The 15619-nt window shown below is 47.0% G+C and overlaps 1 protein-coding gene across 1 annotated transcript in view, besides 3 other annotated features; it reads left to right on the top strand.

Moving 5' to 3' along the window:
• Window positions 1-15619, top strand: part of FBP2 (fructose-bisphosphatase 2) — a 35105-nt gene that overhangs the window by 816 nt on the left and 18670 nt on the right. The window contains exons 2-3 of the mRNA NM_003837.4: window positions 5540-5702; window positions 8340-8432. Of these exons, the coding sequence (NP_003828.2) occupies window positions 5540-5702; window positions 8340-8432 (256 nt within the window). The remainder of the gene's footprint in view (window positions 1-5539; window positions 5703-8339; window positions 8433-15619) is intronic.
• Window positions 1176-1718: an enhancer, noted in NCBI's record as "H3K27ac-H3K4me1 hESC enhancer chr9:97353573-97354115 (GRCh37/hg19 assembly coordinates)". NCBI's record gives its function as "activates a minimal SCP1, AML or CMV promoter by ChIP-STARR-seq in naive H9 embryonic stem cells {active_cell/tissue: H9 hESC(naive)}" and the evidence as "EXISTENCE:reporter gene assay evidence [ECO:0000049][PMID:30033119]".
• Window positions 4497-4996: an enhancer, noted in NCBI's record as "H3K4me1 hESC enhancer chr9:97350295-97350794 (GRCh37/hg19 assembly coordinates)". NCBI's record gives its function as "activates a minimal SCP1, AML or CMV promoter by ChIP-STARR-seq in primed H9 embryonic stem cells {active_cell/tissue: H9 hESC(primed)}" and the evidence as "EXISTENCE:reporter gene assay evidence [ECO:0000049][PMID:30033119]".
• Window positions 4997-5498: an enhancer, noted in NCBI's record as "H3K4me1 hESC enhancer chr9:97349793-97350294 (GRCh37/hg19 assembly coordinates)". NCBI's record gives its function as "activates a minimal SCP1, AML or CMV promoter by ChIP-STARR-seq in primed H9 embryonic stem cells {active_cell/tissue: H9 hESC(primed)}" and the evidence as "EXISTENCE:reporter gene assay evidence [ECO:0000049][PMID:30033119]".

The following is a 15619-nucleotide window of genomic DNA, read 5'->3' as shown; positions in this document are numbered from 1 at the left end:
TCCACTTGGTGTGCAGGAAGCCGGGAGGTGCTAGTCCTGGGAGGGGAGCGCAGAGGTTTCTTCCACAGGGTTCTCTTTGGTGCTTTATCCGAGCATAGATGAGGCCAGGTTCACATTACACTGCTGATGGTCACAGCCCAGTGTCCAGTTTAAGTCTGTAATAAAAAGAATCCGGTGGCCAGGCACGGTGGCTCCTGTCTGTAATCCTGGCACTTTGGGAGGCCAAGGTGGGTGGATCATGAGGTCAAGAGATCAAGACCATCCTGGCCAACATGTTGAAACCCTGTCTCTACTAAAAATACAAAAATTAGTTGGGTGTGGTGGCGGGCGCCTGTAGTCCCGGCTACTCGGGAGGCTGAGGCAGGAGAATCGCTTGAACCTGGGAGATGGAGGTTGCGGTGAGTCGAGATCGTACCACTGCACTCCAGCCTGGGTGACAGGACGAGATTCCATCTCAAAACATACAAACAAACAAACAAAACCCCAGCTTTCTTTGGGCTTCCCTTGTAGTAATTCCAGGGGAGGTCCTCTCAGGAGCTGAAGGAACACATATTTTGGGGATGAAAGAGACTCAAAATGAGGAGCTAACAAAGTCCAATCATTTAAAATATTTACTCTGAGCAATTAAGTGCTTTTAACACAAAAAGTGATAGCATTAGATTACAAGATGTAATTATCATTTGATCACCACAGACTGTATTTATTTAGGGGTGGTGACCCAGTAGCAGGACCCAGGTTAACGGTGCATTATCCTTGCTTTTTTCCTGTGGGTGGATGCTTCAGCTCTGTTTTTACCTCATTTGGCAATAACAGCCACGCTCTGCATTTAATCGCCTTCCAGAATGTGAGGGCAGGCGGTGCCCTGTTCTGCTCCTGTGGGTGACAGCCCTGCTGAGTGACGGTAGACAGGGACTTTGCCTCTCCCTGTGCGGACCCTGCTATCCTCAATGCGGTTGCCTGAGTCCATCTCAGGGTGATTCATCCACATAAATTGGGCTCCCCCTCTGTGCAGGGCTCTTGGCTAGGCAGTGGCTGCCATGGTAGGGGTCTTGCTTATCTGCTGCAAAACTCTGACTTTATGGCGGTTGAGCAAGGAGACAAAGTGGCCCTAGGAACTGGATAATTGAGGTGCTTATTAATTTGGCATTTCCTACCGTGTGATAATGGGCGTGATTTACTCTTGCTAGGACCTTAGATTCCCTTTGTGAAATGGAGAGTATAGTAGCATCCCTAACTCTTAGGGTTGTTGCAGAGTTAGCGAGCGCATGTGATGACGATTTCAACTGTGCCGGCCCCGTAAGACACGCACAGTGCCTGTCACTACCGCGGTTCCAAGCCCAGACCAGATTTGCCTGTGCCTGAGCCGTCAATGACCACTGGCGGCATTTGAGGAGCCTTTCAGCCCCCCACTGCACTGTGGGAGCCACTTTCTGGGCTGGCCAAGGCTGGAGCCCACTCCCTCAGCTTTCAGGGAGGTGTGGAGGGAGAGGTGCGAGCGGGAACTGGGGCTGCGTGCGGCGCTTGCGGGCCAGCTGGAGTTCCGGGTGGGCGTGGGCTTGGCGGGCCCGCACTCCGAGCAGCCAGCCAGCCCTGCTGGCCCCCGGCAATGGGGGACTTAGCACCCGGGCCAGTGGCTGCGGAGGGTGTACTGAGTCCCCCAGCAGTGCTGGCCCACTGGCGCTGCGCTCGATTTCTCGCTGGGCCTTAGGTGCCTTCCCGCGGGGCAGGGCTCGGGACCTGCAGCCCGCCATGCCTGAGCCTCCCATCCACTCCATGGGCTCCTGTGCGGCCCGAGCCTCCCCGACGAGCGCCACCCCCCGCTCCACAGCGCTCAGTCCCATCGACCACCCAAGGGCTGAGGAATGCGCGCGCACGGCGCAGGACTGGCAGGCAGCTCCACCTGCAGCCCCGGTGCGGGATCCACTAGGTGAAGCCAGCTGGGCTCCTGAGTCTGGTGGGGACGTGGAGAGTCTTTATATCTAGCTCAGGGATTGTAAATACACCAATCAGCACCCTGTGTTTAGCTCAAGGTTTGTGAGTGCACCAATCGACACTCTGTATCTAGCTGCTCTGGTGGGGCCTTGGAGAACCTGTGTGTGGAAACTCTGTATCTAACTAATCTGATGGGGACGTGGAGAACCTTTGTATGTAGCTCAGGGATTGTAAACGCACCAATCAGCGCCCTGACAAAACAGGCCACTCGGCTCTACCAATCAGCAGGATGTGGGTGGGCCAGATAAGAGAATAAAAGCAGGCTGCCTAAACCAGCATCGGCAACCCGTTTGGGTCTCTTTCCACACTGTGGAGGCTTTGTTCTTTCGCTCTTGCTGCTGCTCACTCTTTGGGTCCACGCTGCTTTTATGATCTGTAACACTCACCGCGAAGATCTGCAGCTTCACTTCTGAGCCCAGTGAGACCACGAGCCCACTGGGAGGAACGAACAACTCCAGATGCGCCACCTTAAGAGCTGTAACACTCACCGCGAGGGTCCGCGGCTTCATTCTTGAAGTCAGTGAGACCAAGAACCTACCAATTCCGGACACACCACCACCCAGGCAGGGGACCGCAAGCCCCTGGCTCCTTTTGGGGAGATCTTTCTAGCAAGGGCTCCGTGAATGCAATTTAAAAGTTATGAGAGTCTCCTTTTCCCCTTCTCTTTCCTCTTCTTATGGTGGGAACAAGAGAGGCTGGAGTGCCCGCCTGGAGCCTCTCCTTGGCTTTCTCATGGCCGTGGGGGATCATTCCTTTAGAGACTGTTAGTTAGCTTTAGTGTCAGTCAGAACACTGCAAGATACTGTCCTACGGGCTAGAGAGCCCCTTTCCCCCATCATCTCAGGTGAAGCTATTGCCGGGAACTCACATCTCCTGGTGAGTTTCCATTCTTTCTAGGAGGAGGGGTGCTGCCCAGTGCCTGGAGAGAGGGTGCAGGGGGTCGGCTGAGGGGTGGGGTTAGGCGGATGAGGGGGCATTTGCAAAGCGCAGGACAGAGGCTGTTTCTCAGCTCTGCCCACCGCAGGCCTGGGCCTGCTGTTCATCCTCCAGTGGCAAGCGCATTCAGATTCCATATCGAACCAAGGCCTGTGTTTGTGGTCCCCTGAAACTCAGATGCAGTCAGCCTAGTTTTGTTGCTGCTGTTGCTTGCTTGCTTTTGTCTTGACCAGGAGGCACAGTCTTTGGGGTGAGGCTGCTAGGAGTGTTTTCCAAGACAGCTGACTGCTCACGTCATGGTTCCTCAGACACCAAATGATGTGCTGTGGGTGGGGGTTGGTGTTGGGGGGTGAGGTGGGGGTGCTGTTCAGGGAAGAGGGTGGGAAATGAGTTTGCCCCCAGCTTAAGGTAGATCAGTGGTTCTCAACCCTGGCTACCTGTTAGAACCACCTGAGATTTCCTTCAACAAATAAATAGCATTCACATCAGTAGGCAAAGGAAATTCCTTTCTTGCCATCCTTTCCTCATAACTCAGTGAGCAGACATGGAGCATGGGCTGTGTGTCTGGGCACTGCAGAAACAGACAGAAGGATGGATCCTGCCCTCTGCAAGCAGGTCATGCAGCAGGAAGCCAGTCCGTGAGTGTGGTGAACACTGAGGAGGGATGATGGGGTGTTTCTGGTGTGTGGGGCCCACTTGAGAGGACCAGGGAGGCGTCCCAGAGAGGAAAAGGAGGAATAGCAGGAAGAAAGCCGGGCAGAGAGCACTGCTGTGGTGGGAACACCATTAGTGAAGGCGAGAAGGACCAGAGCCGCTTGCTGGGTGCTGGCCCAGGGACATCTGCGGCTGTTGGAACGTGAGAGGGTGGCGGGGTGGCTGAGCCTTGCTGTAGTGGTGCAGGGTGGACACATGAAGGATACGGCTTCCCTCAGAATGGAAAAAAAAATCCTGCCATTGTGGAAGCTCACAGACAATAAACAGGACCTAGATGGTGGTCAGGGCAGAGGAGAAAATGCATCGAGTAAGATGTTGGGGACCAGGGAATGCTGCTCCAAACAGACGGCCAGAGAAGGCACTACTGAGAGATGATCCTTGAGCCAAAGCTTGACTGGGGTGGCCGTCACATGGCTCTTGAGGAAGAGTGTCCCAGGTGGGGCAGCAAGGCCACTGGGCAGTCAGTCACAAGGCAGGTGTGTGCCTTGGAGGTTTCAGAGGCTGGGGCTGACCCTGTGAGGATGAGAGAGACGGGCAGCCATGCCAACCCGGGCGCAGAGATTCCACGGTGGTGCCTGACACCCACTTGCGGGGACTTGGATTTTGCCTCTGGGTAAGACTGGGGGCACTTTAGGAGGACCCCTCCTGCTGGTGTGTTGAGAACCCCCTGAAGGGGCGAGGGTGGAAGTGGGGAGACCTTTGCATATGAATGCTCTAAAACCCAAAGCCTCTAGATAGAATTATTTTGAGGGTCTCCCTCCATCGCTCAGGCTGCAGTGCAGTGGCGTGATCACAGCTCACTGCAACCTCCACCTCCCCAGGCTTAGATGATCCTTTCATCTCAGCCTCCAAAGTAGCTGGGACTACAGGTGTGTGCCACCACATCCAGCTAATTTTTGTATTTTTTTGTAAAGACAGGGTCTCACTGTGTTGCCCAGACTGGTCTTGAACTCCTGGGCTCAAGCGACCTACACGCCTTGGCCTCCCACAGTGCTGGGATTACAGGCACGAGGCCCTGGCCCTGACTGGCATAGAATTCTCGTAGTAGCACTCTCTTATACTGCTTGGGATGGCAGTGAAGAAAAAAATGAAATAAGTCTGCCCCCACATTTCCTTCTCAGTTCAAGTAACACCAAGCTACCACAGGGCAATTTTAATTCATTCCAGCAGGGCACTGTGTGAGGACAATCCACAAAGACTTGAAATTCCAGGGCTTGGCCGGGCATGGTGGCTCATGCCTGTAATCCCAGCACTTTGGGAGGCTGAGGCGGGTGGATCACCAGGTCAGGAGATCAAGACCATCCTGGCTAACATGGTGAAACCCCGTCTCTACTAAAAATACAGAAAAAAATTAGCCGGGCGTGGTGGCGGGCGCCTGTAGTCCCAGCTACTCCGGAGGCTGAGGCAGGAGAACGGCGTGAGCCCAGGAGGCGGAGCTTGCAGTGAGCAGAGTTCGTGCCACTGCACTCCAGCCTGGGCGACAGAGCAAGACTCCGTTTCAAAAAAAAAAGGAAAAAAGAAAAAACAAATTCCAGGAGCTGGAGGCCACAGTCCTTTACTTTTGGAGTCCTCAGTTATGGCAATGGGTCTGATTTGATGAGTCCCCCCATCTGCTCCATCTCCTCGTGCTGAGACTGGGTTTGTGTTTTAGTGAGACTGAGTCCTGGGTCATCTCATTGGAAGGCTAAGAAAATATGACAACGACTCCAAGGTGTAAGGGAGGCAAGGCTGAGAGGTATCCTGCCAGGCATAATCGCCTTCTTCTGCACGTGTGACTTGGAGACTCCAGAGACACAGAACGAGAGGGGACTGCACTGCTGGCGTTTTAGGGTCCCAGGCTCTTTGCTGGAGTTAAGACCCCCTAGTGACTTCCTCATTCAGCCTTTTGTCTTCTCAGGTATGGAATCGCAGGAAGCGTTAACGTGACGGGAGATGAGGTGAAGAAACTGGATGTGCTATCCAATTCCCTGGTGATCAACATGGTCCAATCCTCCTATAGTACCTGCGTCCTGGTCTCAGAAGAGAATAAGGACGCCATCATCACCGCCAAGGAGAAGCGGGTGCGTCATGGGGCTGCGGTGCCCGCTCGCCAGTAGATGATGATACTGAGCCGGAAATAAGCTGCCTTACTTTTCTTTAATTCCCGGGATTCTCCTCTATTTCTTAACATTTGTTTTCTGGAAACAAAGGATTACATACTTCTCTACTTGGAAATCTTGTGCTGTCTAGAGAAAGAAGACTCCACAGTAGGACAGTGATTCATTCAGGAAATTGTTCAGAGTGATGCAGGAACCGCCTCAGTGGGCGCTTGTTCGTGGCTGTTCACTTAATCAGTAACAAGAGCCAAATTTTTGGGGGCTTAACCTTGTGGAGTCCAGGGAAGAGCTGTACTGTACAGCCTCTCACCGCCCCGCCTTCTCATTCCACCCCCGCCCCCAGCCGGCACTTTGCGAGGGGTTACAGTTTCAGCAGAGATTTCTTAGTGCCTGACAAGCTGTTAGACTGGTCCAGAAACAAAACCACAAGCCTCCTGTGCTCTTACCTCGTAGGATGGTGAAGTCGGTGAAGGAAGGCACGGCTGGGGAGGGTCTGCATTCACTATGGGTTCACACACAGCTTATTATACAGAGAGGTTTGCCAATGGCCAAAAGTTTCAATCAATGTTCAGCTGCAATATAGTCAATAGACAAGAGGCCATTTCTTTGTGATTAGCTGGAGGAATGGAAAAGAATTTAAAGTAAAGCCAAATTTATTTAACCTCTGCTCTATGCCAGGTACTGCAAAAGGCACTTTTGCCCTCGTCTCACATAATTTTAGCTACATCACACTATTACTTCCAACTTTCAGTTTCAGTTGATATGACTCTTGTTTCTCTCTCCAGTCTGATCTACCATTGTCTTCTCCTATTGGCCTAAGCCACATAGCCACATAGGTCTTCATGTCAGTTCCTTTATTTATTTATTTACTTATTTATTTATTTTTTTGAGACGGAGTCTTGCTCTACTGCCCGGCTGGACAGGCTGGAGTGCAATGGCGCAATCTCAGCTCACTGTAACCTCTGCCTCCCGGGTTCAAGCAATTCTCCCGCCTCAGCCTCCTGAGTAGCTGGGATTACAGGCATGCGCCACCATGCCCCGCTAATTTTTGTGTTTTTAGTAGAGACGGGGTTTCGCCATGTTGGCCAGGCTGGTCTTGAACTCTGACCTCAGGTGATCCACCCGCCTCAGGCTCCCAAAGTGCTGGGATTACAGGCGTGAGCCACCATGCCTGGCCCGTGGCAGCTCTTGAATACTCCAAACCTGCTGATCTCTCTGTCGAAAATTCTTCTTTCTAGGATGGGCGCGGTGGCTCACGCCTGCAATCCCGGTGCTTTGGGAGGCTGAGGTGGGAGGATTGCTTGAGCTCAGGAGTTTGAGACCAGCCTAGGCAACATAAAGATACAAAAGATAAAAATTTAGCTCGGCATGGTGGTGTGCACCTGTAGTCCCAGCTACTCGGGAGTCTGAGGTGGGAGAATTGCTTGAGCTCAGGAGTTTGAGACCAGCCTAGGCAACATAAAGATACAAAAGATAAAAATTTAGCTCGGCATGGTGGTGTGCACCTGTAGTCCCAGCTACTTGGGAGTCTGAGGTGGGAGGATTGCTTGAGCCCAGGATCTCTAGGCTGCAGCGAGCTCTGACCACACCACTGCACTCCATCCTGGGCAACAGAGTGAGACTCTGTCAAAACAAAACAAAAACAAGAAAACAAACAATTTTGCTTTCTAGGTCTCTGTGTGTTTCTTCATTCCTTAATTCTAGTCAGGTCTGTCATCAAATGTGACCCCCCCTCATGGCTCTCCAGCCCCCAGCCTATGTGGGTTTTCGTTAGGGCACGTGCCACAGCCTGCTTGTATGTGTCCTGACCTGTGTGCTCTCTGTCTGTTCTCCCACTGGAATGTCAGTGCCATGAAATCCAGCCTTGCTGCCGGGATCGCTGACCCCCCGGAAACAAACCCCAGGGCCTTGAACACTTACTTCCCAGCATATGCTGGAAGCTCAACATGTATCTGCTGAATGCATGCATGCATGAATGAATGGGCTAAATTGGATTTTTTTTTAAAAAATTGGATTATTATAGAGATGTTGGGGAATTTCCAAGTTTACAAATTATCTAACTTTTCTACTCTGGCTGAGCAAGGAAAAAAAACAGAAACAAAGCTCAAATGAAGCTAGGCCAATACTCATTGGAAAGTCAGGGAAAACTAAATCAAGTGGAGGGAGAAATGACCCTCATTTCTCTTGAAGTTGCATTACCCGTGTTTAATTGGCCTGGGGGTTCCGGTCGCCATCACTAAGGGTCTCTCGTGACCTTGCACACAGGGGGCTATAAAAAGGACCTGGGGCTTCCCTTGGTGGCTTGAGCTGCCTGTGACAGCAGAGTGGGTGGGTGTGGGGGACGTTGGTCTCTCAAGACACACCCACTTTATCTTCTGGTCTTCGCATCAGACAGGTGAGATGGATACAAAACCCAGAGGAGTATTTGTGTATAAACTGGCACCCTGCCCTCCGTAAGTCATGGTGTTTTTTGATAAAGATATGCTGTGGTTCTCAATCTCTTTTTGATGTGGTGTACTCTGCCACGCACAGCCCTGACACAGAGCAATTGTGCTAATGGGAAGATGTGCTGATCAGTTGGTGCTTTCCTCTCTGATTTAGGGGAAATACGTGGTCTGCTTTGACCCACTGGATGGATCTTCCAATATTGACTGCCTGGCCTCCATCGGAACCATCTTTGCCATCTATAGAAAGGTGAGTAGACAGGCTGACATTTTACACCTCCTTCCTGTGGTGGTCTCTGGAAGGTTCCTGGGCTGAAAACCGTGTGTTTGGAGTCCTACCCTTTGTCTTCCCACTAACGAGAAAAGCCACTGTAGGCAAACCACCAACTTTTCTCTGCCTGGGGCTCCTCATTAGAAGAACTGGATTGGCGATTCTTTCTCTGCCTACTTTCTGGCATTCCTGGGAGGGTAACACAGAAGGACAGCTGAGATCTTGTTTTGAAAGTCTGGGTGCAACACAAATGTCAGACATGGCATTAGGTTCCAGGTGGCATTCTGAATCTCTGACATCCTCTCCCCCTCTTGCCTCATCTCTCCTGTCCCCAGCCACAGAAAGTTTTCTGCTAACGCTCATTGGATTAGATTGAACTAATCTAACCTGGAAGGTCCACGGTGATCTCCCTATTTGAAATCTGAACCCCTGAGTACACCTGAAAAGTCTTTGTTGCCATGTAATGCTGGGTATTCACAGATCCTGGGGACTGGCATATCTTTTGGGCCATTCTGCCTACCCTGAAATCCTAGCAACAGAGAGCTGGGTGGGTTTGTGACATCCAGCAGGACTAGAAACTTCACAATTCAGAAAACTTGTCCTTCATTCTATATAAAGTGTACAACGGCAATAAAATCCATAGCAACCTCGCCAGCTGCGGTGGCTCACGCCTGTAATCCCAGAACTTTGGGAGGCTGAGGCGGGCGGATCACTTGAGGCCTTGAGGCTAGGTGGTCGAGACCAGTCTGGGAAACATGGTGAAACCCCGTCTCTACTAAAAATACAAAAATTAGCCAGGGTGATGGTGCACGCCTGTAATTCCAGCTACTCAGGAGGCTGAGGCAAGAGAATTGCTTGAACCCAGGAAGTGCAGGTTGCAGTGAGCTGAGATCATGCCACTGCACTCCAGCCTGGGTGACAGAGCAAGACTCTCTCAAACAAACAATCCATAGCAACCAAAGAGAAAAATAAGCAGAGTGCCAGTTACATTGTATTTGAGAGTCTTCTATGTATTAGGAAGTTGATTAAACCGTGCTCTTACAGAGTCTTGAGATAGGGAATCTATGGCAGAAATATGAGTATTTAAGGCCTGTATAGTTTGGGTTATATTGTGAGAATAATCTGGTAGATATCTAATTCTCAGCCTTAATTCATGCACAAGTGTTGCCTTGGGTTGTAGTTAGGATATCTAAAGCCATATGATTTAAAGACATTGTGGGATTAAGACATAGTAGCAGTTTGCTTTTCTGTGTCTTGTGGGGCTGAGGGTATGTTTTGGGCATTATTCAGGAAGTATGTACAGCACTTAGTTTTACTTATACTTCATGGTCCCCACTGTCAATTATATTTGGGGTTCCTGTGGGGCTTGACAACAGGTTGGCAAAATATACATATTTAACAGGCTGGGCATGGTGGCTCATGCCTGTAATCCCAGCATTTTGGGAGGCTGAGGTGGGTGGATCACCTGAGGTCAGGAGTTTGAGACCAGCCTGGCCAACATGGTGAAACTCCATCTCTACTAAAAATACCAAAAATTAGCTGGGCATAGTGGCGGGCGCCTATAATCCCTGCTACTCAGGAGGCTGAGACAGGAGAATTGCTTGAACCCGGGGGCAGAGGTTGCAGTGAGCTGAGATTGCGCCATTGCACTCCAGCCTGGGCAACAAGAGTGAAACTGTGTCTCAAAAAAAAAAAAAAAAAAAAAGGGGGCTGGGAAGGGTGGCTCATGCCTGTAATCCCAGCAATTTGGGAGGCCGAGGCGGGCGAATCACGAGGTCAGGAGATCGAGACCATCCTGGCTAACATGGTGAAACCCTGCCTCTACTAAAAATACAAAAAAATTAGCCGGGCGTGGTGGTGGGTGCCTGTAGTCCCAGCTACTTGGGAGGCTGAGGCAGGAGAATGGCGTGAACCCAGGAGGCAGAGCTTGTAGTGAGCCAAGATCGCGCCACTGCACTCTAGCCTGGGTGACAGAGCGAGACTCCGTCTCAAAAAAAAAAAAAAAAAATTAGCCAAGAGTGGTGGCATGTGACTGTGGTCCCAGCTACTCGGCTGAGACATGAGAATTGCTTGAACCTGGAGGTGGAAGTTATAGTGAGTTGAGATTGCACTGCTGCACTCCAGCCTGGGCAACAGAGCAAGACTCCCTCTCAAAACAAACAAACTATACACACACACACACACACACACACACACACACACACGCACACACACACATATTTAACAGATTATAGGAGGAGCTATGAATATTTATGAAGATGGTCCTGACATATGTGTATTGAATAAATATGCATGTATGACCCATGTTTATTTTGGGGTGGAATGTATTCCATTTAGGTCCTGTATATCAAAAGATCTTTCTAGGACATAAAGGCACACAGTGTGTGCTTTCTGTAAACTGGCCAGACCTAGCCCATGGTTGGTGGTCTTTTATCAGGAGAGCTACTGAAATTTAGTCTTTTGTCTAATTAAAGCTGTAGTCTTGGCTGGTGGAACAAGAGCCTGGGGGTGAGTTAGTCAGCTGATCTTAAGGCCAGCGCTTGTTTGGCTGCTAGAGAAAAAGAAAAACCTATGGCAGTTAGGACATGGTTTCCTCTTCAAAATAGGAGTGAGTGACTAACCCTTGCCTGGCGTGGCCTTAGGTCCCGTTTCTAATTGGGTATTTTATTGTGACAAACAGCCTATTTTGTCAATCTTAGGGTTTTCAGTTGTGCCTAATTCCAAAAAGTGGGGGAAGGTATAGGGAGGCCTGTCTGATCCCGCTTCCTGCCATGGCCTGAACTTGTTTTTCAGTTTATCTGGGGATTTCCTTCGGCCAAGAGGCAGGTCCATTCAGTCTGTTGAGAGGCTTAGGATTTTATTTTAGTTTATATTCTCCCTTTTTTGTCAAGGTATTCCGGGGGCAGTATTGATGGCCAAGCTTTTATTTTGTCCCATGTGGATGCTGGGGTGGTATGGTTACCTTCCCAGGGTCCATGATGTTCCTCGATGGGACCCCTATGGCCCAGGGACTTAGAGTCAAAACAGTGGAAGCCAGTTAAATGTTCCAGGCCAGATGGGAATGGAGGTGGCCAGGCATTCATTAACCTTAAAACCCCTTTTAAGCAATGTAAAAGCCAAAAACCCAAAGCCAAAAGGCAAGCTTCCAAAATTGACTTATCTACAAATCTATACATCGAGCTACTGTGAGCTTGGCTAGTAGCACTTAGCTGCACAAAACACAAGCCTTTTGTTCAGCTGTTGAAGCCTCTCTGTGTCCGTCCTGGATTTGGAGGCTCTGAATTAATTTGATCCCATAAGACTGGCCCTTACTATGTCAGACGCTCACTTCTTCCACTATAGTCTTTAGGCCTGGGGGATTGAATAGTTTCAATTCTGGAGGTAAAACAAAATACAAAGAATTAGTAATGTTTTAAAGTATCATAAGCCCAGCCTAGTTCTGAGAATGACAGGAAAGGAGGCTTATAGGTAGTTAAGCATTTTAATTATTTGGTATTAAGGCATAGAATAAATCATATTACTTTAGACAGAGGCAAAATTAATAAATTAATCTTACTGGTTTTGACTACAAGGCTGTCCTTGTGTCTCATTAAAGCAGGTGACTTTGATTGTCACCTTTGCCTGGATCCAGAGACAAGGCTTTGGTTAGCTTGAGTTTGGTATCAGATACTGGCAGGAGCCAATGCCTTCTTTAGATGAAATATGTGCACCCAGGAGTCAAAGCCCTGTAACTTAACTGCACAAGGATTTGTTAATAGTACCTGATAAGGGCCTTTTTTAGGGACTAGAGGTAGTGATACTAGAGACTTTGACCTGTCTGGAACCTGTAAAATGATTTTAAAACCTAGTGGTGATTAATTTTTATAGCTTTGGTAAACCCCAGCAGAAAGTCAGAAACTTAATTTAGGATTCAATTTTGAAAAAGTTAAAGATGTTAAAAGGCTCAAAACAATTGATTAAAACAGAACTGTAGGTCATTGTTAAACAATAGTTGCTCATTTAACCAGAGTGATAATTGAAAGATTGAAAAGGCAATCCAGGCTGGGCATGGTGGCTCACACCTGTAATCCCATCACTTTGGGAGGCTGAGGCAGGTGGATCACTTGAGGCCAGGAGTTCAAGACCAGCCTGGCCAACATGGCTAAACACTGTCTCTGCTAAAAATACAAAAATTAGCTGGGCGTGTTGGACCAGCCACTTGAGAGGCTGAGGCATGAGAATCACTTGAACCTAGGAGGCGGTGATTGCAGTGAGCTGAGATTGTGCCACTGTACTGCAGCCTGAGCAACAGAGCAAGATTCTGTCTCAAACAAACAAACAAATAAAAGGCAATACAGAACGTTATATGGTTGTACAAACTTTAACCCTTTTAGATCTCAACTTTTCTAAGCAATTAAAACCTAATAAAGACAACATAGGAATTATTTTGATAAAATGTAAAATGTTGTTTCTTAAGTGAATTACCAGACAGGGAAAGAAAAACCTGCAGTGTAGCTGCTTCTCTTTAGGGGAAGCCTATTTGGATAACCTGGAAGTCAAACTGTGAGTGTATCAGGGAAATAGATAATTCTCAGTAACTGCATGAGAAGCTTTCTAATCATATTGACAAATTTAGACATATCAAGGAAAGTACAGAATCAAGTAATAATGTAGGAAAACATTGCTTTTCTAGACCTTTAAGATAAAATGTTTTAGTGCCAGGCCATAATAATAAAATTGGAGGAAAAAGATCACAAGAGTTGAGGAAAAAGCTGAATGAGAGAGTTATCCTCTCAGGCCTTCTCAAGGGGAGAAAAAGCTGAAAGCAGCAAGACACAGCAAAGCCAAACTTCTGAGATATGATTCTGAGAAGTTTTTAAGAGAAAGAGGTTATAAAAGTAAAATTTCTTGTTATTAGGAGCAAATAAATACCTTAAGACAGACAACCTTGCTTTAAACATAGGGGGCTATTATAAAGAATCCCCTTTTAATTATAGGTAACTTAATCACATGCAAAATTCTTTTATAAATTCTCCACAAACTTTAATACAATTTATACAAACCATTTATGACATGCTTAAACTTTTTGACTTGTCCTGAATTTTGTTTCTTTAGATATCAGTCATTATTTTTAGGACAAGAATTTACCATACAACTTTTTTTTTTTTTTTTTTTTTTTGAGACAGAGTCTCACTCTGTCGCCCAGGCTGGAGTGCGGTGGCATAATCTCGGCTCACTGCAAGCTCCGCCTACTGGGTTCACACCATTCTCCTGCCTCAGCCTCCTGAGTAGCTGGGACTACAGGCGCCCGGCACCACGCCCGGCTAATTTTGTGTATTTTTAGTAGAGACGGGGTTTCACCATGTTAGCCAGGATGGTCTCCATCTCCTGACCTCGTTATCTGCCCGCCTTGGCCTCCCAAAATGCTGGGATTACAGGCATAAGCCACCGTGCCTGGCCAAGTTTTTTTTTTAATATATAAAATTATTCTCTCTTTTAAAATAACCTTTTTTTTTTTTTTTTTTTGACAGAGTCTCTCTCTGTTGCCCAGGCTGGAGTGCAGTGGTGCAAGCTCCGCTCACTGCAAGCTCCGCCTTCCGGGTTCACGCCATTCTCCTGCCTCAGCCTCCTGAGTAGCTGGGACTACAGGTGCCCGCCACCACACCCAGCTAATTTTTTGTATTTTTAGTAGAGACTGGGTTTCACCGTGTTAGCCAGGATGGTCTCGATCTCCTGACCTTGTGATCCGCCTGCCTCAGCCTTCCAAAGTGCTGGGATTACAGGCCTGAGCCACCACGTCCAGCCTATAAAATTATTTTTACAATACGAATACAATTCATAGAATTATATAGTCATTAGAATTTTTATTTCTACTAACTTTAAATTTTAGTGGAAACTTAGTAAGCAAGAAGTCCTGAACGGTTTGTCAGATGTTAGCATTTTATAGATGAAGTCATTTCACAATTTTAGAACCATGTTTTCCCATATTTTATTGTAAATTAGTCCCATAATTTATTATAATTTTTAAAAAATTAGAAGTAAACCAGACATCCAATAAGCATTTATTATTTAATTTAAAATAATTTTAAGATTTTAAATTACAGAAAAAATTCACTTAAAAAACATATTTCATTTATGTGTATTTAATTTTTTAATCTTTAAGTTTATCTAGATTCTTTCTGAAAACAGATATTATACAAAGTTAGTCATTATTTAAAGTTATTTCCCTGTTAACCATTTTAAAAGTCCGAACATTAGGTGAACACCTAAGTAAGAACCTCAAAGTTAAATCCATGGTCATTTTGCCAATAGCTCAGAGGATTCAGTTGCTTTCATTGAACTAACAATCCTAACTTAGTCTTATTTGTCAAAAAAATTACACAAAGATTACTCTGTGTTTGGCTGGGTTATAATCTTACAATCTTTGCGCCAAACCCTGACACTTTAAACATTTAGCAGAGACAAATACAAAATTTATTTGCTTAGACACAAATGTATGCTGATGATTCTGAAGGCATTTTTGTTTTTATTTTACTAATAATTTTTGAAGCCAGTTTTATTTATCAAAGATTCATGCGAACTTGGAAAGCATTTGAACTTAATTTATGTGTACTCACTTACTTATAAAGCCAATTTGGTAGCATGCTAGACACGACAGAACATAACTATAACATGTACATTACATAAACATATCTAAACATGTATACATCCATACACAAACAAAGGTCTAAGAGCTTTTATCTGAGAACTCTAATCATGAGATAGCATCACAAACTCACTGACCTATAAAAGCTGGCTTCAAGTTGTTTTTCTGACAAAACTGGAAGCTGTCCACGTGGCTAACTTTGTTTGCCCTGATAGGTAATCCAAGGAAAGCTGGCAGCCAAAATTTGGGGTAAAGCAGTCTCTATGGCAGTTTGGGTTTTTTTCTTTTTAAATCTTTTCCCCTTTTTGCTGTTCAGTTTCAAATGAGTTTTCAATGTTTATATTCAATTTAGACCATAAATAATGAGTCTTGTCTCGCGCCAGCAGTTTAATAACAGCAGATTTAAAGCAGGCAGAAAAGAGAGGAAGGTAGAGAGCTAAAGAAGATTCTACTTAACTCCACAGTGTAGGTTAACCATTTGAACTCTGAATTTTTCTTGTTGTAATTTGCCCATCAGTTTAAAATGTGCACAAAAATGGGC

The sequence above is a fragment of the Homo sapiens genome, chromosome 9 (genome assembly GCF_000001405.40).
Source record: "Homo sapiens chromosome 9, GRCh38.p14 Primary Assembly".
Taxonomy (NCBI): domain Eukaryota; kingdom Metazoa; phylum Chordata; class Mammalia; order Primates; family Hominidae; genus Homo; species Homo sapiens.
Note: the sequence above shows the minus strand (reverse complement) of the source record. Positions and strands in the feature narration are given on the sequence as shown.